The following is a 25,573-nucleotide window of genomic DNA, read 5'->3' as shown; positions in this document are numbered from 1 at the left end:
CAAACAAATTTACAAGAAAACAACAACCCCATCAACAAGTGGGGAAGAATATGAACAGACACTTCTCAAAAGAAGACATTTATGCAGCTAAATTTTTATTTTTTTAAATATCAACTTTTAGATTCAGGGGTACATGTGCAGGTTTGTTACATAGATATATCGTGTGATTCTGAGGTTTGGGGAGTGATTGATCCCATCACCCAGGTACTGAGCATAGTACCCAATAGTTAGTATATCAACCTTGACCCCTCTCTTCCTCCTCCTTGTAGTAGTCCCCAGTGTCTATTGTTGCCATTCCCATCTGTGACCATGAGTACCTAAGGTTTAGTTTCCACTTACTTGTAAGTGGGAACGTGTGGTATTTGATTTTCTGTTCCTGTGTTAATTCGCTTAGGATGATGGTCTCCAGCTGCATCCATGTTGCTGCAAAGAACATAATTTCATTATTTTTGTGGCTGCATAGTATTATATGGTGTATATTTATCACATTTTCTTAATCCAGGCCACCATTGATGGCACCTAGGTTGATTCCATGTCTTTGCTATTGTGAATACTGCTCCAGTGAACATATGAGTATATGTGTCTTTTTGGTAGAACAATTTATTTTCTTTTGGATATATACTCAGTAATGGGGTTGCTGGGTTGAACGGTAGTTCTGTTTTAAGTTCTTTGAGAGATCTCCAAACTGCTTTCCACAGCAGCTGAACTAACTTACAATCCCACCAATAGTGTATAAGCATTCCCTTTTCTCTGCAGCCTTATCAGCATTTTTTGTTTTTTGACTTTTTAGTAATAGCCATTCTGAGTGGGGTGAGATGATATCTCATTTTGGTACTGATTTATATTTTCTGATGGTTAGTGATGTGGAGCATTTTTCATATGTTTTTTGGTCACTAGTATGTCTTCTTTGGAGAAGTATCTATTCATGCCTGCTGCTCATTTTCTTTTCTTTTTTTGAGGCGGTGTCTCGCTCTGTCACCAGGCTGGAGTGCAGTGGTGCAATCTCATCTCACTGCAACCCCCATCTCCTGGATTCAAGCAATTCTTCTGTCTCAGCTCCTGAGTGGCTGGTACTACAGGCGTGCGCCACCACACCCAGCTAATTTTTGTATTTTTAGTAGAGACGTGGTTTCATCGTGTTGACCAGGATGGTCTCAATCTCTTGACCTCGTGATCCACCTGTCTTGACCTCCCAAAGTTCTGGGATTACAGGCGTGAGCCAGCGCACCTGGCCTGCTGCTCATTTTTTAATTGGGTTGTTTGTTTTTTGCTTGTTCAATTGTTTAAGTTCCTTATAGAATCTGGATATTAGACCTTGGTCAGATACATAGTTTGTGAATGTTTTCTCACAGTCTATAGGTTGTCTGTTTACTCTGTTGATAGTTTCTTTTGCTGTGCCAAAGCTCTTTAGTGTAATTAGTTTCCACTTGTCAATTTTTGTTTTTGTTGCAATTGCTTTTGAGAACTTAGTCATAAATACTTTCCCAAGACCAATGTCTAGAATGGTGTGTCCTAGGTTTTCTTCTAGGATTCTTATAGTTTGAAGTCTTACCTTTAAATATTAATCCATCTTGAGTTAATTTTTGTATATGATGAAAGTTGGGGGTAAAGTTTCATTCTTCTTCATATGGCTAGCCAGCTATTTAAGCACCGTTTATTGAATAGGGAGTCCTTTCTCCATTGCTTATTTTTGTTGACTTTGTCAAAGAGCAGATGGGTATAGGTGTGCACCTTTATTTCTGGGCTCCCTATTTTGTTCCATTATTCTGTGTGCCTGTTTTTGTACACATACCATGCTGTGTTGGATATGATAGCCTTATAATATACTTTGAAGTTGGCTAATGTAATGCTTCTGGCTTTGTTCTTTTTGCTTAGAATTTCTTTGGCTGTTCAGGCTCTTGTGGTTCCATGTGAATTTTAGAATGGTTTTTTCCAGTTCTGTGAAAAATGATGTTGGTAGCTTGATAGGAATAGTGTTGAATTTGTAGGTTGCTTTGGGCAGTATGACCATTTTAATGATACTGATTTTTCTAATCCATGAGCATGGAATATTTTTCTATTTGTTTGTGTCATCTGTGATTTCTTTCAGTAGTGTTTTGTAGTTCTCCTTGTAGAGATCTTTTACCTCTTTGGTTAGATGAATTCCTAGGTATTTTATTTTTGTCTGTGGCTGTTGTGAATGGGATTGCATTCTTGATTTGGCTCTCAGCTTGAACATTATTGGGGTATAGAAATGTTACCGATTTTTGTACATTGATTTTATATCCTGAAACTTTACTGAAGTCATTTATCAGCTCCAGGAGTCTTTTGGTGGGGTCTTTGAGGTTTTCTAGGTGTAGAATCATATTGCCAGTGAAGAGGGATTGTTTGACTTCTTCTTTTCCTATTTGGATACCTTTTATTTCTTTCTCTTGCCTGATCGCTCTGTCTAGGACTTCCAGTTAATTTATATTTAAATTAATGTGTCAGACTCTCCCACAAATGTGTTGGAAAAATTCACTGGAATCTAGATGTTCAATGTTACCATTGTTTCTTTCTCTTCTTAATGTTTCTGTTAAATATGGCTTTAATGCTTCCCTACACAATATTTTCCAGAAAATTTAAAATCTTTTGGATAGGTCTGATTTTCTCCCTATTATGAATTATATTATAATGAATGTACTTATGCATATATCTGGTTTCTTTGAATTTTAATTTTTGTGTGATAACGGCCCATGTCTGGGTTTACTGGGCCAAAGAAGATGAGTTTTCATAGGCCTTGATAAATATTGACAAATAGCATTACTGTTTTTGTAACCATTGGCAATATTAATATATTCCACTTTGGCCACTCTTTAGCAGCATTAAATTGGCTTATATGATTTGCTAATTTATGTAGTATAGAGTAATAAGTCATTATTTTATGTATATCTGATAATATTTAAACTACTCCTTTAATTTTGATTGTCAAAGTACTTGGAGAAAATATTTTGGTTGCCATTTCAAAGCATTAAGATAGGGTGGCAAGAAGTTGTATAGGATATGCAGGCATGAAAAAGAATGGAATCATGTCCTTTGTAGCAACATAGATGGAGCTGGAGTCCATAATCCTAAACAAATTAACACAGGAACAGAAAACCAAATACCATGTGTTCTCACTTATAAGTGGGAGCTAAACACTGAGCACACGTGGACATAAACATGGCAACAATAGACACTGTAGACCTCTAGATGGGGAGAGAAGAAAGGGGAGCATGAGTTTAAAAACTAACTATTGGGCACTATGCTCACTACCTTGGTGCAATATGCCCATGTAACAAACCTGCACATATACCCCCTGTATCTAAAATAAAAGTTGAAAAATACAAAAAATAAAGTTTAAAAAAAGTGATGTAGAAAATAAGTATCTTTTAAAAATCTTCCTGTATAAGTTTGTGTTGACAAAATATCCAAGCAAGTGCAGTATACAGTTCTACAAATAGGAGATATGTGTGTTACTGTGTTGTGCTATGTGTATTTGCATGCTTGAAAGGCTACTACATATATATGTTATTCTATATATATCATATATAATATGGTAAACATAGATATAATAATAGACTTTACATATAATATTGTGGAACTTTATATAATCATATTTCTCCTCATCTAACTATATAGAAATCCCTTTTTGTGATCCAGATTTGAATGTCTTTCTCTTGTTCTCCCCACAGTGTCCTTCTAGAGCACATTTTTACTCCATCTTCTTGGCATTTCTCTGCTACGCCTATTTTTTTAATTAATTAATTAATTTATTTATTTATTTATTTACTTGCTTCTCTCATCCCTCAGCTGTCCATTTTCACCTGTTCTTTCCGTGGCTTCTTCTGCTCTTAAAAATGTCTTTAATATCAACACCCAGCATTCTGCCCTTTATCATTGTTCCATTCTATAAATATCCCAGCAAGAGTAGAAATCCAGAGTGGTTTAACCATCCTGAGATATTTTTCAGAAAAATCTAAGAAATCTTTTCTGAAATTCAAACATTAAAGTACATACCACCTCACAGACATCACTATTTTTGGTTGATGCATGTAACAGACTAGTGTGTTTCCCACCGATGGCTGGTAGAAAAAGTAGATGTATCAGTCCACCGAACGTAGGTATTGAAGTACAAAATTAGACTTCCTGACTTTACAGCCCTCAACTCTCCATGAATGAATCGTACATCTGTCTCTGTCATCATTGCTTTGGGCTTCAAACTACAGGATTGAGAGGGAGTGAGGCCTGGAAACACAGGAGTAACTTGAGAAAGATTGTGTGATGCCCAAGTGTGCATGTGTACAGGCATATGGCTGAGTGGAGATCTGATTAAATTAAAAGAAAATAATCTATAAATTTGATGGATCTCATTTTGGAATTATTTGAATTTGTATTTTGCAGTAAAATTGCTCATGCTTGTTCAATCCAAATGTATCTAGGATGTCTTTGGCTAAAATTATTCAAATGAATATTTGATACCATGTGGTTCACACAAATTGATAGTACATCAGGAAAATAAAATGTTATGTAATATGTTTGCCTTGCTTATAGGTATGTGATTAAACTTGAATATAATTAGTTGTAATCACACGGTTTAAGTGAGTCTTGCATAAATGTCTAAGAATGTTGTAAAAAATTGAGCAGTATGAATTAATCTAGTTTAGTTTAGCTCTCAATTGTATAACTTGTTCAGGAAATGGTTAATATTTAGCATATTCTTTTTTGATTAGGTAACTGGAGATGCAACTTTTGCCTATACAAAATATGAACGAATTAACTGGGTAAGGGATTGGCCTGGACAGACTGTTCTCTGTGTATCCCAAATCTTTTGGACAAAAGAAGTACAAACAGCTATTCCAATGGGGATAAAGGTAAGGTTTTATTAACCCTCGGGTTTTTTTAAGCATTTTTTCAATAGTATTATTGCCAGAATACACTTATTTTAAAAACTAAAATAAATACAGTTCACTTAAAAATCTACTTTATGCTGCAAGCCAAATTACAGATTTTTTAAATAAAAATTGCACATAACAAATATGTAGGAAAAATTTATACCAATAATTTCAAAATTTATGTTTAAATCATGTTTATTCACGGTATATAAAAGTCAATGATACTTGAACCTCAATCTTGTTATTATATACATTTTATGCCTTTAAAAATAGAGTGATAATAGGACTAAGAAACTCATAAAGATTAGCAGGAAATAAAGTAACAGTATTCTCTTTTATACCTTGAGTAAAACTACCCTATATAGATAAGGCTCCAGTTGACTTATTGTGACTGTTTTTATTTCTAATGTATTGATTGTGAATACATAATAATTATGAATATTTAAATGATGCTTAGTATTAAATATGTAAACATTCTAATATAATTGGATATATTAATTTAATATTAATTAGATTGTAATTGTTAATGAAAAACTAAAATTACATTCATTGCAGCAGTTCTATCATTGAGATAGGATTTTAAGTGAGTCAGCTTTCAGTTGACTGAGGGGTCAACTGGAAACTAGCAAATATAGATCTGTAGTTTAAAATCATAATTGTTAAATATGTTTTTGACATGGAATTTGAAATGTCTTTAAGACATTGTTGAACAGGGGTTTGAAAATGATGCAAGTTCTCTGTAGACAGACAGATTCCAAAGAGTAAGGGACTGAGTGACACATGTTTAATTCACTCCAACTTACCAACAGGTCACCTACTTCTCCTCTACAAGAAGGAATAGGGTGTAAAACAGGAAGTCAAGGGTTTTCAGGAAAAGGTCTTTCTTCATGAAAAGCAGGGCACTGGGGCATAAGAGTATCCCTAATAGCAGTAAGCCCCTGAGTTTACTTTTGGGCCCTTGGGTGTTTCTCCCCATGTGTATTTTTCCTTTTTCCTCAGTGAGTCCAGAGAATTCATTTTGTCTTTCTACTTTTAAGCTACCACTCACCAACCACCACACTCAGAGGGATTTCTCCAAGGTGGCCCGCCAGGGGACGTGCAGCCTCCTGGGATCTCCCTGCTTGTGGTTGAACATGGGTGGGACAGAAGTTTATTTTTTGCTACTGAAGAAGAAAATTAATAGCAAATTAACCGTGTAAATAATAGAAATGAAATAGTGTTTAGGCACCAAACCTTTGAAAACTGATCTTTCTTAAAAAAAAAAATAAAAAAAGATGAAGTATTTCAGGAAACAAGAAAAGTGCCCCTTGGAGAAACAACTTGCAGTCCTCATCTCTGTCTTTTAAACTTTTTCTCATTCTTGGGAACCCTCACTTTTAGTTTCATTGCTGCCACTTAGCAATGGCTGTAACAGAGTGAAATAAACTCCGTGGTGTACAGTTTTATTAAATGTTTTTAAAGTAGAAAAAGCAGCCACTGGAGCATATTGATATGTCTCTTAAGCACAGTGTTTTTTGTTGACTATAATTTTATTTTTGTCTTTTTTAACTTACTCATTAGATTTACCTGCCAGAAAAGAGAAGCAAGCCTGGTCTTCAGAACTGGCATTAGCTTATTATAAACTAACATATTCAATGTTTTGTTTATTAGCATCTTTATATTTCAAGAAGCACAAACCCCTTTCAGAAAGCTTATGTGAGAGTTACTAGAGGGACTCATAGGATCTAAACAGGAACAGTCAGAATCAGGACCTCAGGGCTGCATGGTGCTGTGGCCTCTCTCTTGCTCTCTCTCTCTCTTTTTTTTTTTTTGTGATGGAGTCTCGCTCTGTCACCCAGGCTGGAGTGCAGTGGCGTGATCTTGGCTCACTGCAACCTCCACCTCCCAGTTTCAAGCTATTCTGCTGCCTCAGCCTCCCGAGTAGCTGGGATTACAGGCACATGCCACCACACCCAGCTAACTTTTTATATTTTTGGTAGAGACGGGGTTTCACCATGTTGGTCAGGCTGGTCTCAAAACTCCTGACCTCAAGTGATCTGCCCGCCTTGGCCTCCCAAAGTGCTGGGATTATAGGCCTCCACGCCCAGCCCTGGGCTGTCTTTTGTTGTTGCTTTCTATCTCTCTTGGCTCTGGTAGGCTTTATTCTGTAGAGCAGAAGACAGCTTGTAGTTACTTCAAGTTGGCATATCCACAGCCTACCAAGCCTAGTGAAGAGTACTTTTTCTCTCAATCTATATAGCAGTCCCCAGGAAGAACTGTGATTGGCTCTGGTTTAGTCACACATCCCCTCCATATTGCCATGGAGAGTGGGCAATATGATTGACAGCTCCAACAAAACCACAGAGAATAGAGAAGAAATAGAAAAGGAAAGGATAATGAGTAGACACAAATTACATATATCCATTATACGTGGCCTGATTGGTCTTGTTTACCTAGTATCTTTGTAGTCAGAAAAACAAATTATTTTTAAATTGTATTACATGGAAAGTTGTAATCAAAATGCAGAGAATAATCTGTATATATACTAGTTCAGAATGTTTTGTTCAAAATAATTTTGATCACATTGGGAAATCATATCTTATTTTCTTTTCTTTCAGGCTCTTGAGCAATACTTGAAAACATGTAACAGACAAATTGATGATATTGTCACTTTGGTGCGTGGCAAATTGTCCATGCAGAATCGCGTAACTCTGGGAGCACTTGTGGTACTGGATGTCCATGCTAGAGATGTCCTCTCATCACTTGTAAAAAAAAATATTAGCGATGACTCTGACTTTGAATGGTTAAGTCAGCTTAGGTACTACTGGCAAGTAAGTGGTATCACTGAATGTTATATTACACAGCAATTTCAGCTCGTAGTTTTAAATTTGTGCTTGCTTGCTCACATGGGAAATAGTAGCAGTAATCTGAGATCTTTTGCTGATGGCAGACTATACCCAAGTAAGCATTTCTTTATATTGAAGATTAAGCTGCTGATAACTATGTCATCTGTATTGATATCTGTATCCTTATCTATATTCAAAAGTATAGTTATATATAAACATATATCCATATATAGATACACGAAAATGATGAGTAATTATCAAAAATTACTCATTTTAAATGAGTTGCTAGGCTTGCTGAATCTGCAAAATGTTGGGACTAGTCAGTTTAAAATTGTGTTTTTAGGTTCTTGATGCATCTAAAGGATGTATGAATCAAACTCTTTCAGTCTGATTTAGTCATTAAAGTTTCCTCTCATTGCTGGGCATGGTGACTCACGCCTGTAATCCTGGCACTTTGGGAGGCCAAGGCAGGCAGATCACTTGAGGTCAGGAGTTCAAGACCAGCCTGGCCAACATGGTGAAACCCCATCTCTACTAAAAATACAAAAATTAGCTGGGCACATGGTGGGGCGTGCTTGTAGCCCCAGCTACTTGAGGACTGAGGTGGGAGAATTGCTTGAACCCCAGGAGGCAGAGGTTGCAGTGAGCCGAGATTGCGCCACTGCACTCCAGCCTGGGTGACAGAGTGAGACCCTGTCTCAGAAAAAAAAAAAAATTCCTCTAATTGATCAATTGAAGAAGCCAGAAACATGGTTTTTACCAGGGCATCCAGGTGGATGGTGATGGTAGTCATGATGGGGAATGCAAACAGGGCAGGAACAGTTAGTAAAGTGGGCAAGATAGGGCCTATTGGGCGTGGGCATAGACAGGTGCATAGTTTTCATCATATAGGCTTTTGTGGAAGTCTTGGGAGGTATGGGGTGGGAGGAGAGAAGAAGTGAGAACTAGCGTCCTGGGAAACAAATTGAGGGGCAGCGTATTTAGTACTGAGCTAGAAGCTCAGATGGCGGAATCATTTCAGATGCCAGATCCTCCCGTTACCAGATGTATAACCTTGGGGAAGTTACTTATTCTCTTTAAGCATCAATTTCCTCATCTGTTAAATGATGAGTAATATCCACTCTATTGTTAACACAAAATGATTAAAAATATGGAAGAGGTAAGGGACAAATACTAAAATATTTTATGGGAAAAATTAAAGCCAGTGACTTCAATTATTCATCGATGGAAACTAGATACTTAATTCTGCCATGGAATCAAATGACACCTGAAAAGTGAACTTTAAAGATGTCTATATTATGGTTATTACTTATTAAAGAGCTTGAGATTTCATATTATTTACAATTTTATTGTTTAACTTCATTTTATTTGATTTATCCTAGGAAAATCATTTAGAAACAAAAATGATCAATGCTGGTTTGCGATATGGATATGAATATCTGGGTAATTCCCCTAGGCTGGTTATTACACCACTCACGGATAGATGTTACAGGTAAACCCTTTAATTTAAGGATCTATTGGAAATAACTTTCACTCACCCCTGTACCACTGATTTATTTAAAAATACCAAATTGTCTCTCATACTGTTAATTTAGCCTGTGTTATTTTTTCCTAGACCCTTGATTTTCCTCTCAGGTTTGTCTTCGTTTTCTCTTTCTCTGCTGGCTTCCTCCTCTCAATACTAGGGCTCTAAGTATTAGTAGGTGTCACTTGTTGTTGACGCTGTCCATCCCTCCTTTCTTCCTGAAACTTTCTGACTTTTTCTTGGATCATTTGAGTCATTTTATTGTTCCCTTGAAACACTGAATTTTCTTTTTAAAATTGATATTTTTATTATTTCAATAGGTTTATGGGGAACAGGTGGTGTTTGGTTACATGGATAAGTTCTTTAGTGGTGATTTCTGAGATTTGGTGCACCCATCACCTGAGCAATGTCCACTGTACCCAATGTGTAGTCTTTTATCCTGCACCCACTCTCACCCTTCTCCTCAAGTCGCTAAAGTCCATTGTGCCATTCTTAGGCCTTTGTGTCCTCATAGCTTAGCTCTCACTTATAAGTGAGAACATATGATGTTTGGTTTTCCATTCCTGAGTTACTTCACTTAGAATAACAGTCTCCAACTCCATCCCGGTTGCTGTGAATGTTATCATTTCCTTCCTTTTTATGGCTGAGTAGTATTCCATGGTGTGTGTGTGTGTGTGTGTGTGTGTGTGTGTGTGTGTGTGTACACCACATTTTCTTTATCCACTCATTGACTGATGGGCATTTGGGCTGGTTCCATATTTTTGCAAGTGCAAATTGTGCTACTGTAAACATTTGTGTGCAAGTGTCTTTTCCATACAATAACTTCTTTTCCTCTGGGTACATACCCAGGAATGGGATTGCTTGATCAAATGGTAGATCTACTTTTAGTTCTTTAAGGAATCTCCACATTGTTTTCCATAGTGGTTGTATAGTTTACATTCCTACCAGTGATGTAAAAGTGTTCCCCTTTCACTACATCCACACTGACATCTATTTTTTTATTTTTAAATTATGACCATTCTTCAGGAATAAAGTGGTATCAAATTGTGGTTTTGATTTGCATTTCCCTGATCATTAGTGACACTGAGCATTTTTTCATATGTTTGTTGGCCATTTGCATATCTTCTTTTGATAATTGTCTATTCATGTCCATAACCCACTTTTTGTGGGATTAGTTATTTTTTTCTTGCAGATTTGAGTTCCTTGTAGATTCTGGATATTAGTTCTTTGTCAGATGCATAGTTTGCAAATATTTTCTCCCACTCTGTGGGTTGTCTGTTTACTCTGCTGATTATTTCTTTTGATGTGCAGAAGCTTTTTAGTTTAATTAAGTCCCATCTATTTATCTTTGTTTTTGTTGCATTTGCTTTTGGGTTCCTGGTCATGAACTCTTTGCCTAAGCCAATGTCTAGAAGGATTTTTCCAATGTTAGCTTATAGAATTTTTATGGTTTCAGGTCTTAGATTTAAGTCTTTGATCCATCTTGAGTTGATTTTTATATAAGGTGAGAGCTGAGGATCCAGTTTCATTCTTCTACATATGGCTTGCCAGTTATCCCAACACATTTGTTGAATAGCATGTCCTTTCCCCACTTTACGTTTTTGTTGGCTTTGTTGAAGATCAGTTGGCTGGAAGTATTTGGCTTTATTTCTGGGTTCTCTGTTTTGTTCCATTTGTCTGTGTGCCTATGTGCCTATTTTTATACTAGTACCATGCTGTTTTGGTAACTATAGCCTTATAGTGTAGTTTGAAGTTGGGTAATGTGATACCTCCAGATTTGTTCTTTTCACTTAGTTTTGCTTTGGCTAGGCAGGCTCTTTTTTGCTTCCATATGAATTTTAGGATTTTTTTTTCTAGTTCTGTGAAGTATGACCATGGCATTTTGATGTGGGAATTGTATTGAATCTGTAGATTGCTTTTGGCAGTATGGTCATTATCACAATATTGATCCATGAGAATGGGCTAGAAACACTGAGTTTTCAAGAGTTCTGTTTTCATGTAGTGATTTATCTCATGCCTTGTGGTTTTCTGAATGTTCTCATCCAGTCCCATGCTTTAATGGCCTACATCTTGAAGACCCCATATCTGTACCTCTGGCCAAGGTCTCTCCTATAAGCTTGCTATACACAAGCCTACTTGATACTTCCATTTGATATCTCATAGATACTTACATTTACATTTCTTCTAAAAGCAAATGTACCATTTTACCTCCCAAATTCACTCAGCCTCCCCTAGTCCCATCTCAGGAAATGACAGTGGCTATTTATCAACCCAGTCATCTCTATAAATACCTAGTTTTGTCCTCAATTCTTTCTCAGTTCTTCACATGTAGGCACACAGTAAGCCCTACTGATTTAATTGAATTAAATGTATTTATTTAATTCTCTTCCTTTAAAAAAGTAGACTTTTTGGCCTGGTGTGGTGGCTCATGCCTGTGATCCCAGCACTTTGGGAGGATGAGGTGGATGGATCATTTGAGCCCAGGAATTTGAGACCAGTCTGGCCAACATGGTGAAAACCTGTCTCTACTAAAAATATAAAAATTAGCTGGGTGGGGTGGTGTGCATCTGTAGTCCCAGCTACTCAGGAGGCTGAGGTAGAAGAATCACTTGAACCCAAGAGGTGGAGGCTGCAGTGAGCCGAGATTGTGCCACTGCACTCCAGCCTGGGTGACAGAGCAAGACTCTGTTTAAAAAAGAAAAAGACTTTTTAAAGAGTAATTTTAGATTTACAGAAAAATTATGCAGAAAGTAGAGAATTCCTAACCTCTCTCTATCCCACCCAGTTTCTTCCATTAACATCTTTTTTTTTTTTTTTTAAACAAAGTCTTGCTCTGTCTCCAGGCTGCGTGATCTCAGCTCACTGCAACCTCCGACTCCCTGGTTCAAGTGATTCTCCTGCCTCAGTCTCCCGAGTAGCTGGGATTACAGGCGTGCACCACCACACCCAGCTATTTTTTGTATTTTTTAGTAGAGACAGAGTTTCACCATGTTGGCCAGGATGGTCTTGATCTCCTGACCTCGTGATCTGCCAGCCTCGGGCTCCCAAAGTGCTGGGATTACACACTTGAACCACTGCGCCTGGCCCAAAATCTTTCATTAGTGTGGTACATTTGTTATAATTGATAAACCAATATTGATACATGCCTGTTAACTAAAGTCCACAATTTATACAATTTATATCAGGGTCTACTGCGTTGTAGAGTTCTGTGGGTTTTGACAAATGCATAATGTCATATATCCACTACTAAAGAATAATTTTACTGCCCTAAAAATGCCCCCTTGCTCCACATATAATTTCCTCCTCCTCTCCCGCAGAACCCCTGTCGACCACTGACCATTTTTGTCATGTATATATATTCCAAAGTGTCATATAGTATCTAGAATTATACATACTGTCTCTTTTCACTTAGCAATATGCATTTAAGTTTCCTCCATGTCTTTTTGCAGCTTGATAACACACTTTTATTGACAAATAATACTTTATTATATGGGTGTAACACAATTTATCCATTCACCTGTCGAAGGACATCTTGGTTGCTTCCAAGTTTCAGTGATTATAAATAAAGCTGCTGCAAATATTCTTGTGCAGGTTTTTGGGTGGACATCGTTTTAAACTCATTTGGGTAAATAACTAGGAGCATGATTGCTGGATCATGCACTAAGCCTATGTTTAGCTTTGTGAGAAACTGCTAGATTGTTTCCCAAAGTGGCTATACTTTGGAACTCCATTTGCATTGCCATCAGCAGTGAATGAGAGTTCCTATCTGGTGTTGTCAATGCTTTTGATTTTAGTCATTCTAATAGATGTGTAGTGGCATCTCATTTTGCTTTATTTTGCAATTCCCTAATGATATATGATGCTGAGCATCTTTTTATATGTTTATTTTTATATGGATACCTCTTTTGGTGAGGTGTTTGTTCAGATCTTTTGTCCATTTTGTAATTGGGTTGTTTATTTTTCTTTTGTTAAGTTTTAAGTGTTCTTTGTACATTTTGAATACAAGTCTTTTATCTGATACGTGTTTCTGCAAATATTTCCTTCCAGTATGTAGCTTGCGTTTGTATTGTCTAAATACTATCTTTTGACTGAGTGCAGTGGCTCACACCTATAATTCCAGCACTTTGGGAGGCCAAGGGAGGAGGATCACTTGACACCAAGAATTCAAGACCAGCCTGGGCAACATAGCAAAACTCCCATCTCTACAAAAAATGTAAAACAAACAAACAAAAAATGGTCAAGTATGGTGGTGCACACCTTTAGTCCTAGCTACATTGAAGGCTGAGGCAGGAGGATCACTTGAGTCCAGGAGTTGAGGCTGTAGTGAGCCATGATAAAGCCACCATGTTACTGGTGGCAAAGCCATGTAGGTCTGAAGCAACCTCAATTCCTTGCCTCCTCAGAAGAAAAGAATTTGACAGAAGGGCATAAGCCAGAAGGAGAGATTGAGGCAAGTTTTAGAACAGGAGTAAAAGTTTATTAAAAAGCTCTGAAGCAGAAACAAAAGGAAGGAAAGTACACTTGGAAGAGGGCCAAGTGGACAACTTGAAAGACAAGTGCACAGTTTGACCTTTTGACTTGACATGCTTCTGTGGTCTTGTGTTCTTTCTCCTGTGATTCTTTTCTTAGGGTGGGCTGTCCACCTGTGCAGTGGCCTGCCAGCACTTGGGAGGGGAGCATGTGCAGTGTGTTTACTGGAGTTGTACCCATGCTCACTTGAGGTGTGTTTCCCTTACCAGCTGAATGTCCCTAGGAGATCATATACCTGTCAAACTCCGCCATTTGACTCTCTCAGTGTGCATTTGTGAGCCCACTTGCCCAACTCCTGAGATCTTATCGGGAAGCTGCTGATCACCAGCTTCAGATATTTCTTTTTTTTTTTGAGATGGAATCTCACTTTGTCACCCAGACTGGAGTGCAGTGATGCAATCTTTTTTTTTTTTTTTTTTTTTTGAGGTGGAGTCTCACTCTGTTGCCCAGGCTGGAGTGCCGTGGCACAATCTCGGCTCACTGCAAGCTCTGCCTCCTGGGTTCACGCCATTCTCCTGACTCAGCCTCCCGAGTAGCTGGGACTACAGGCGCCCGCCACCACACCTGGCTAATTTTTTGTATTTTGTTTAGTAGAGACGGGGTTTCACCATGTTAGCTAGGATGGTCTCGATCTCCTGACCTCGTGATCCGCCCGCCTCCACCTCCCGAAGTGCTGGAATTACGGGCGTGAGCCACCACGCCCGGCTGACGCAATCTTGACTCACTGCAAACTCCGTCTCCAGGCTTCAAATGACTCTCCTGCCTCAGCCTCCCGAGTAGCAAGGACTACAGGCATGCACCACTATGCTCAGCTAATTTTTATATTTTTAGTAGAGATGGGGTTTCAGCATTTTAGCCAGGCTGGTCTCAAACTCCTGGCCCCAAGTGATCCACCCACCTCGGCCTCCCAAAGTGCTGGGATTACAGGTGTGGGCCACTGTGCCCAGCCAGGTGTTTCTGTTTATTGTGAGTCTGCCTTTCCCTGGAGCTGACTATGACCAACTATTATTTTAGAGAGACCGTTAACAACTGCCTGACCATCACCTGACGGTCGCCTGACATTCCTGGTGGGGCAGGGGTGGGGGGGTGGGAGGAGCCCTCTCCTGCCCTACTTATGTCTGACTGACTACCTACTGTAACAACCACACTCCAGCCAGGGTGACAGAGTGAGACCTTGTCTCAAAAAAAAGAAAAGAAATAGTGACTTTCACAGATAATTTTTACCTTTATGAGTCCAATTTTTCAAGTTTTCTTTCATGAATCATGCTTTTTGGCATCATATCTAAAAAGTCATCATCAAACCCAGCATCACCTAGATTTTCTTTGATGATGTCTTATAGAAGTTGTATAGTTTTAAGTTTTACATTTAAGTCTGTGATCCATTTTGAATTAATTTTGTGTCTAGATTCACTTTTTCCAGTTGTTTCACCACCATTTGTTGAAAAGACTGTCTGTTCTCCATAAAATTGCCCTTGCTCCTTTGTCAAAGATCTGATTTTATTTTAGAAATGTTTCTTAAATATGTGTTAGGAATTTGGAATCTACATTTTTCTTCCTTTCAGAGCACCTAAAGAGCTAAAGTAATGGAAAATAAACTATTAGTTTATAAGTGGCTGAGCAATTATCTGATCCTCAATTCAGAGCTCTCATGTATAATCTGGATTGAAGAATGTAGCCTAGCTTGAAGATGACTGATTATTTCCTGCTCCTTGAAGCTAAGCATGCATGCTTTCCATATGGCTGAAGAACTGAATCCAAGAGAAAAAATAGTGGATCTAATTCATCTAGTTGCAGATGGGGAATGAGAGCCACACGATGACTCCAACCACTACTTAAACAGGGTCCCATTTATGTCAGGATTTGACCTCCTAAGTACAATATGGATGGAGTGAGAAATTAGAAGTTTTGATATAAGTTTCCTTCATATGGCTGATATAGTCAATAAAAGAGGAAAGATAGAAAGATTCTGCTCAATACTCTTTTCTTCTCATTGGCTCTAATAGCACCATCCTATTAGCTACTTTAATATCTTCCCAATTTTTTAAGTTCTGATATAGTATATGAGGTGCAATATAATCTGTCTATTGGACTCAGTATTCCAGTAACACCAAACTCTTTCTTATGCATACCATTCTACTTCTTCACTCACTACCTGTGCACACAGTCTCTTGTTTCCCTGGCAAGTTCTCTCCCTTTCTTTTGTTCCTCAATAAATACAACTAACTCCTACTTAATCCTTTGGAACATCACCTTTTACAGGTAGCCTTTCTCTGACATTCCCTACATTACGAATCTCTCCTCAGTGATTCTCATCACACCATGTATCTTCTTCTGTCATAGCACTCATCATAATGGATTGAAAATATATTTGATATATCTGATATTCTTTATTGTAGTCTTTTCATGGACAAAGATTGTGCCCTATTTTTCTCTCTCTCCCCAGCACCAACTCGTTTCCTGGCATAACGCAGGCATTTAATAAAATGTATTGAATATCCACAAACTGAAAAGCAGTTTTAAATTATATTGTTTCCTAGAGAATGATTAGAATTGTAAATGTTTTGGCCAGGTATGGTGGCTTAAGCCTGGAATCCCAGCACTTTGGGAGACCAAGGCGGGTGGATCACCTGAGGTTAGGAGTTTGAGACCAGCCTAGCCAACATGGTGAAACCCTGTCTACTAAAAATACAAAAATTAGTGGGACATGGTGGTACATGCCTGTAATCCCAGCTATTTGGGAGGCTGAGACAGGAGAATCACTTGAGCTCAGGAGGCAGAGGTTGCAGTGGGCCAAGATTTTGCCACCGCACTCCAGCCTGGGTGACAGAGCAAGATTCTGTCTCAAAAAATAAATAAATAAGTAAATAAAATAAAATGATGTTTTTCAGATAGAGGATAGTGCTTAATGTGTGAGTCTTCCTCATTGGCCTGGTAGGACTATTATTTATGAAGCATCAAATGAATCAGGGCAAGTGGTTCAGAATTAAGGCCAAGAACAATGCAGTTGTACTGGAATCTTCTTTGATATCATGCCAATTGTATGGCACAGGGGCAGGCCCAATCACTTGAAGAACCTATACAGGATCTAACACTAGTGCAATTGCTTACAGCTGTACCTTGTACCCAGTGGAAGTCTTTATAGATTTTACAATATAGGAATCCCTTTACAGTTAACATTACATGTGTATATCTAGCAAGTAACTGTGAGAAAAAATAATTCTTAAATTTCACCTATCAATCCAAGAAGCAATTTTGATTAGCTACTATATACCACATACTTTAGTAGTGCTCTTGATAGAGAAAAGATATAGAGTTTCTGTATTTAAACATTTTTCAGTCAGATGGGAAAGTCAGTTTAAAAAACAATTACAATACAGTGTACTGAGTGAAATATTAGAGGTAAACATTAGGTGCTACAGATATATTAATCCAGAGGGGAATGGAAATTCATAGGGGAATGGAAATTCATGGGGGAATGCTTTGAGAAGGAAATGGTTAATAAAAGATCTGCGACTTGGCACGGTGGCTCGCGCCTGTAATCTCAGCACTTTGAGAGGCCAAGGCAGGCAGATCACGAGGTCAGGAGATTGAGACCAGCCTGGCCAACATGGTGAAACCCCGTTTCTACTAAAAATACAAAAACTTGCTGGGCATGGTGGTGGGCACCTGTAATCCCAGCTACTTGGGAGGCTGAGGCAGGAGAATCGCTTGAACCCGGGAGGCGGAGGGTTGCAGTGAGCCGAGATTGCGCCACTGCACTCCAGCCTGGACGACAGAGCGAGACTCCGTCTCAAAACAAAAAACCAAACAACAACAGCAACAAAAACATGTGGATGGAGATCTTATATTAGGAGATCTAATATTGAAGGATAAGGAGATTTAGCCAAATGAAAATGAAGAGGGGCTGGCTCTGTATTCTTTGACTGACTACCAAGTATAACACATTTATATTTAATGTGATTCATAAACTATTTGGACTTCTTTAAATCATCTTATTTTGTGCTTTATATTCTCCAAGTTTAACATTTTATTTTGTTTTGCTTTGTTTTTCTCATGTCCTATCTTTTATTAAGTGATTGAGTTTTCTTTATTCATTTATCTCATTTGATACGGATATAACGTGGGATATGATATGGGCTATGATATAGGATGCTGTTTCTATTCTCTTAAAGGTTATCTTACATTTAAAGAATGCCTATTTTGCTTAATAAAGCCTAAAGTTAATAAATATCTCTATTCCCTTTCTGAATAATAAAATGTCTTTAACTACTTTAACTCCAGGTTCCTATCTCTTATATTCCAAATACTAAATTAAACTTTGTTTTTAAATTTCTTTCCAGAAAATTAGTCATTTTAAGTAGTTTATTGAGTAAACCAGTTTTAGGATGCAAGCAGAAAGCAATTTTATTCTTTCTTATTACTGTTTTTTTTAAAGTTGCTCTATTAAATAAATATTTCTCATTCCTGAATGAAATCTAGGGTAGATTCCCTAGCTTTTCTGGTCACTCTAAAATATTAATTATAAGTGTCATTTTTTAAAATAATAAAAGTCCACTTACAGCTAATCAAAATTAATAATAGCTCCCATCCAATTTAAAGCTCCCTTCTCCCTCAACTCAAGCCTGACTCAGGCTGAGAGCCTGAATTTGGAAAATAGATGTGCTCAATTTTTAGCTATTTTTATCCCTGTCCTTGGTTTCATCCCTCAATAGCTTATCTTTTGCTTCCCCCAGTATTGGAGGTTGAAGGGGAGAAAACAGAAAGAAGTAGGTTTATATGTGACAAGTGTCTTGTGTGACAACTATCTCTTGGCTGTATAGTGATGTCTTGGTGATGGCACAAGCCCAGATGTGCCAGATCTTCCAAGGGATGTTTATGCGGGTTCCTTAAAGCCCTTCCAGTGACCGGATTCTCCCACCTGTGGAAAATGCCTTCTCGGGCTGGCCGCAGGTGGCTTTTGCTTCAGCCTCTGAGGCTCACCACACACAGACCCTCTTTTGGGGATTTTCTCCTGTTTCAGATGGGCCTTCTGCATAGGGTCCCATTCAGTGTGACTCAAATCTGGCTCTCGGGATCTGGACCTGGCCAGGTGATAGACATACATTTGTTTTGCCAGCAGTGGGAACACATCTCTCTGTTTCTTTTCTCCCATTCTGCCATCAGGAGAAGTTCCAGGCATCTTTTCAGCTTGAAATGTTTTCGGTTGTGAGTCAGCACTCAGTTTCTGTGCTCTAGAAAATCCAAGGGGCAGATGGTGTGTCGAGTTTTCTGAGCAGTCTCAAAGGCCCCTCTGTTAGCTTGGGAGAGGGAAAAGTGCTGCTCTTTCTTCCACCATACAGAGAGAGGTAAAAAACACAACACACCAATGATTCTTTCCAAAGAAGTCCTCACTCCTGATCACTCACTTACGGTCTTCTTATCTAACTTTTATATGCCCTGATGATAGCTAATGTTCCAAACCAACTTCACCATCTATAAGATAAGATGAGATGGTATTTATTGTTCTCAGCTTGGGGCTTTAGTCAAAATTCCAAGAAAGAACCCTATTAAATAGAGTGTTACATATTTTTTACTATTAATATACAGGTTTACCAAAAATTTTTATCATTTTCTTTACTCACCAGTGCTTCTTGCTTTGCCTTACTTTTGGTTTAATTTTCTTCCCCTTACTAGGCAATGTCTTCTAGTAATTGTTCCAGGGAGGCTCTGCAAGTAATGAGCTCTATCAGTCTTTGTCTAAAAATGCTTCTTTGTGTGTCTTTGCTCAGTTATTAAATGACAGAGTAGCTAGGTATAGAAGTGTAGATGAACAGTAGTTTTCCCTCAGCCCTTAAAACTCGTTATTCTCCTGGCATCCATGGCTACTGCTGGTAAGTCCCTGTTATTCTTATTCTTTTGTAGGTAATTTTCTTTTCTCTGTTATAGTTTTTAAGATTTCTCTTTATTGTTGATGTTCACTGTAAAGTTACTAGATGTAGATTAGTTTTTATTTATCCTATTTGGGCCTTTTTCCATTCATGTTTTTCTTGAATTCTGAAAAATTATCAGTCATTGCTGTTTAAATTTTGCTTCTTCCCCATTTTCTTCCTTCTATGTCTCTTAACTTTTCTTACATTCAGTCTCTGTATCTCTTTGAGTAATTTTCAGTGCATAATTTTCTGTTTCCTTATGTTTATTCTGCTATTTAACTTGTTCACTGAGTTTTTAAATTATATTTTTATTGCTAGAGTTTCAAATTGTCTCATTTATAAAATTGGCTTCTGTTTTTCTCTCACAATTTTTTGATGTCTATTGCTTTATATTTAAAATCTCATTTAACAGACCGCCAGGATACCATAGAGAGTAGGACGCCATTTATATAATAACACTCTTTGTCCATTGCTTTTGCCACAGCAAGGCTGACTCCTAACTCTGATCTCTCTCTCCTGTTTGAACTGTGAGCTGGTTTTAGTAGTGATTGTTTCCCCATGCAGTCTTGCATGTTGTCACCCGTGGAGGTGTCCATAAGGAGCAGTTTCATATTTATCTCTGAGGAAGACTCTAGAGTTTTTTTCTGGTTCAGAACAAAATGTTAATTTATCATTTTGGATTAATGTGCCCATGACTAGTAGAAATTTGGACCTCTTTTTCCCTGCACAAATGATACAAGCTTTTCATCAGGCCCCGCATGAAGGATAGGCTTCTTTGTCTCTTCCATAATTGACTCTTCTTTGTCTCTCTCCAGTAGGTTGCTGGAGTGATTTTAGTTTCCATTTAGAGACAAGACAGCCTTTCAAGACTTCTAGATTTATATAGGTGGATCCATTCCAGCTCCCCACATTGCTCACTTCTGAGGGTTTATTTTCTGTTTCTATCTGAGCATAAATATACTCATTTATTTATATACTGATCCCGAAACAATCTTTTAGTGTCTAATTCTCCGGCTTTGCATTCCCTCTTCGTTGGTAATTTTCTTTTCATTCTTTCAAAAATGGCCATGTATTTTAAATTATTATTTGTTTTCTTATCTGTAACATTTCCATATGCTTACAGTTGGCGAATTAGGGGATTCAAAGTCAACTGAATTCTTCATATTGGCCAGAAATCAACATTAAATTTCAAAAGTGAATTTGTTCTCAATGTGGCATATATATAGCTATTCAGAAATAAAATATAATAACAGACAAAGTAATGAACTATCAGAGATTTTCAGAGGTTACTGGGAAGGAAGAAATTATCAAAGAGGAAGCTGGAGGTTTGGTTCTCAATTTAACCTTTTTCTCTTCTTGGCATGTGAATGGAAAAAAAATCACATTATTCTACAAAGAATGTCTATTTCATATGTTTCAGAACCTTATTTGGAGCCCTTCATTTGCACCTTGGAGGAGCACCTGAGGGTCCAGCTGGCACTGGGAAGACTGAAACTACCAAGGATTTGGCAAAAGCTGTAGCCAAACAATGTGTTGTTTTCAACTGCTCTGATGGGTTGGATTATTTGGCTTTGGGAAAATTCTTTAAGGTTTGAATTAACTCCTCATTTCTTTACAACAGGATAACTGATCAGAGATGGTTATTTATGATGCAACATAATTGAATACAAGTAAAAGATTTACTGTAGCTTAAGTAAAAGTAAAAATTGAAGCACTATCTCAATAATTCTTAAAGGAAATAAGGTTATAGCAAAACCCTATTTGCAGAGAATCTCTACTTTCCTCTCCAGTCCCTACTGTAACAAGTCATTATTACTGGTTGGAATAAGTGGTGTCCCTTAAATACATTGGAGCAGATAAGAGTTTGAGAACGATTGCATCGTGTAAAGGTCGTGGGATTCTAAAGACATCTTTAACCTACAGATCTTGTTATTGAGAAGTTATTTTGAGTTAGTAATTTACTTTTATAGACATATTCTAATCAGTCATTTCAGTGAACTTGAAATCTTAAGTTTTATTATTTGTTTTTATTTTTAAAAATTTATTTTTATACATTATAGATGTACATATTTTCAGGTTACATGTGCTAATTTAATAATTCCTAAAGATCAAATCAGTGTATTACTTTTTTTAAATTCTAAGTTAGATTCTTGTCAGTCCATGAGCTTCAAAAGGTAGAATTAGAGATACCAAGTCCCTGCCTATAAACCTATAAACATCTGATTATTTTAGCAGCTTGTGTCTGTAGCCTGTTATTCCTTAAAATGTTAGGTGACACAACTGAACACAAAATGATCCACTTGAAATTATATATTTATTTATGTTTTTCTGTAATTTTTCAAAGCACATTTTATTTTATTTTTATTTCCAATTTTTATTTTAGGTTCCAGGGGTACAGGTGCAGGTTTGTTACATGGGTAGATTGTGTGTTGCGAGAGTTTATCTGGTGTACAGATAATTTTGTCACCCAGATAATCATCATAATAGCCAATAGGTAGTTTTTCAATCCTCACTCTTCTCCCACCCTCCACCCTCAAACAGGCCCCAGTGTCCATTGTTCTTTTCTTTGTGTCCGTGTACATGCAAAGCACATTTTAAAAATTCTAGAATGTTTACGTTTCCAAATTTTCTCCAGAAAAAGTTAACATTAAAAAAGATAAACAAACTAGCAAAATAGAATATACCAACCCTCACCCATGCAGTAAACTGTTCCTGGCTGGAATATGACTGATCTGGAGTTTAATTACTTTCCATTTGTGATACTGGAACAATTAGAATTAGAACTTTTAAAAGCTCAAAATTATAATTAATAAAATATGAAAACATTTAAATGACCAATTAACATTTTAATTCATTCTCTGTAATGATTTACAACCTTGTTGAAATGAGCAATATTCCCAATAGCAAAGATATGGAATCAACCTAAGTGTCCATCAGTGGAGAAATGGATAAAGAAAATGGGGTATATCTATACAATGAAATACTATTCAGCCATAAAAAAGAATGAAATCATGTCTTTTGCGGCAACATGGATGGAACTAGAGGTCATTATCTTAAATGAAACAAGCCAGGCACAGAAAGTCAAATATCCCATGTTCTCACTCATAAGTGGGCGCTAAGAAATCTGTACACATGGCTGTAGAGAGTAGAATGATAGAAATGGAAGGGCGCGAAGGTGGGAGAGGGGTGTGATGAGAGATTAGGGGCAATGTATGTTATGCAGGTGTTGGATACCATAAAATGGTATGGATACCAAAATGGTATGATACCAGTGTATGTTATTCAAGTAAGGGATACCAAATTGCATAGTGACTCAGTCACTATGCAGTCTATGCATGTAGCAAAATTGCACACATACTCCATAAATTTGTACAAATAAAAATATATAAATGAAAGAAAAAAATAACAAAACTAAAGAATTCTACATGCAGTTTGAATAGCCATCACATTATTAAATGTCTAAAGAAATGTCTGGTATATATTGCTCAGTTTTTGAATCTATGTAATGACCGTCTTCATTCTTTTATTTAGAGTCATAAACTTAATAGTATTAAATTTGCTTATTAGTATTTGTAAATAGCTTCTTTGTGTAGGCATTTAGCTGAATAATGGGGGTAGAAAATTAGACATGATTTTTATTATCAAGAATCTCAAAATGTATATAACTGCTTGAATATGACATCCAAAGCATTCTGTTCTCTGTGATCTGTCGCCATGCATTAGAGGTCAAAGTCATTTATAGGGTCTTCTCCAACTAATGAGAATGTACTATTCTTTGACATCCATAGAGTTCGTGTACAATCCAGTGTGGTTCGGAAGAATGAAATGTGTAAAAATCCAAGGTCAGCTGCTATAATCTGTGTGGCTTTGTGCTAATTATTTAACATCTCATATGGTATAGCCTTAGTGTCCTTGCATAAAATATGCATATGAAGTGCTGTGAGTCACGGTTGGCACATACAGTGTACTCGATATAACATATGCATGTGTGTGCTTGCATGCACACACACAATCTATAAAATGTATGTTCAGTACATATTTGTTGAATCATTTGATGTTTTTAAAAGTAGATCTGAATTCAGATGAAACTACTCATGCTTGATTTTCCAGTTTTTCCTTATGATCGAATGGCACATATCTGTGAGGTAGCTGTGGGTTAGGACCGCAAACTAGGGCCTTAAACTGTGGTAGTTGGCTATTAAGGTGCTCAAACCACAAGGCAGTCTCACTGGCAACAGAAGTCATCTTATTTGGATGGTTATTATAACCTATGCTATAAAATCCATGTGGAGTAAGCAAGTAAAATCAACTTGTAAATAAAAAGCAGGAAAGGCTTTGAGATTATAGGTGTATGTCTAAATGCTAAAAAAAAAATGCAGAAAGGAGAAAAATGTTAATTGGAAAATTTTCCAATTGATCAAACTCTTTTATTCGTGCAGAATAATGAATTGATAATGAAAAAATCAGCTGCCTTTAAAGATAAAGGCGAATAAGCAATTTCTTTGACAGGATATTAAATCCTTGAAAAGATCAGGTGAAAATACAACATTTCATTGCAACATTGAATCAGATAAAGTCAAAAATTTTCATTACTCTTTTCTCATAGGGACTGTTATCTTGTGGAGCCTGGGCTTGCTTTGATGAGTTTAACAGAATTGATTTGGAAGTACTCTCTGTGGTTGCTCAACAAATCCTTACTATCCAAAGAGGTAATGGACTAGTTTGTCTTTGCATTATGTGAAAATAAAAGAAATATGAGAGGTAGTGAATGGCACAGCTCATGTTTATATGTGGTATTACTAAGTCATTTCATTCCTGATTACCTACAGGTATTAATGCAGGTGCTGATATACTGATGTTTGAAGGAACTGAACTAAAACTTGACCCCACATGTGCTGTCTTTATAACAATGAACCCTGGGTATGCTGGGCGATCAGAACTGCCAGATAACCTGAAGGTATGGAAGGAGTTATTATATAATCTATTTCTTCTCTATAATTTACAAAGTTAATATATGAAAAGAGCTGGGCGTGGTGGCTAACGCCTATAATCCTAGCACTTTAGGAGGCTGAGGTGGTGGGAGGATCACTTGAACTCAGGTGTTTGAGACCAGCCTGGGCATAGTGAGACCTTGTCTCTTAAAAAAAAAAAAAAAAAAAAAAGAAAGAAAGAAAATATTTTAAAAGTGTGTGTGTGTGTGTGTGTTTCTGTGTGTATGTGAAAAGAAAGAATATGCTATCCTTGAGTTTATGTAAAATATTTTGTTTTAGCTATAATGTTTTAGAAAATTGTTTTAGAAAACAATTTTTAAAGCTTTGAGTATTTTTACAGAGTAAATATCCACACCAGGAACAATTCCCAAAATATTTATTTTTAAAATAGTGCTAATTTTGAAAAATTACAAAATATAGAAAAATGCTAAGGGTGTACCCATTCTACTGCTTACTGTAGATTGTGTCCCCCTACTTTTAAATGCCTTTTTACAATGCTGGAAACACACTATTGTGTATGCTTGGTGGGTTTTTTTCACGTTAATATTATATCATGAGCACGTTCCCATCTTTATAAGCATAATTCCAACTATTAATACATTTACTGAACTGTAGCTTACTTTTGGACATTCAGTGTGCTTTCAGTTTTCCTGCATTATAAATAATATCACAATGAGTAGTTTTTACTAAAGGCGTTTCTCTATTTTGAAATATTTCTTTAGATGGAGTCATGGGACTAAGATATTTATTGCTAAATTGTGCTCCAAGACAGGTTGAAATGATTTTCATCCCATATCAGTTCTCAATTTTCATTGACACCCAGCATTAATTTTTTAATGAAAAAGAACAAAACACTTTCTTGAATTGACCAGACTTTACTTTAAAAAAAAACACACCATTT

General features: G+C 37.0%; 1 protein-coding gene across 11 annotated transcripts in view; it reads left to right on the top strand.

Moving 5' to 3' along the window:
- The window catches only part of DNAH7 (dynein axonemal heavy chain 7), a 331,135-nt gene that overhangs the window by 137,541 nt on the left and 168,021 nt on the right, over positions 1-25,573 (top strand). For all 11 annotated transcript variants that reach the window (XR_922968.4, XM_011511488.4, XM_017004504.3 and 8 more), the window contains 6 exons: positions 4,731-4,871; positions 7,490-7,702; positions 9,100-9,209; positions 21,102-21,270; positions 24,288-24,390; positions 24,511-24,638. Coding sequence is in view for 10 of the 11 variants with exons in the window: in XM_011511488.4 (XP_011509790.1) it covers positions 4,731-4,871; positions 7,490-7,702; positions 9,100-9,209; positions 21,102-21,270; positions 24,288-24,390; positions 24,511-24,638 (864 nt within the window). In the remaining variant the exon portion in view is untranslated. The remainder of the gene's footprint in view (positions 1-4,730; positions 4,872-7,489; positions 7,703-9,099; positions 9,210-21,101; positions 21,271-24,287; positions 24,391-24,510; positions 24,639-25,573) is intronic.

This window comes from Homo sapiens, chromosome 2 (assembly GCF_000001405.40).
Source record: "Homo sapiens chromosome 2, GRCh38.p14 Primary Assembly".
Lineage (NCBI taxonomy): Eukaryota > Metazoa > Chordata > Mammalia > Primates > Hominidae > Homo > Homo sapiens.
Note: the sequence above shows the minus strand (reverse complement) of the source record. Positions and strands in the feature narration are given on the sequence as shown.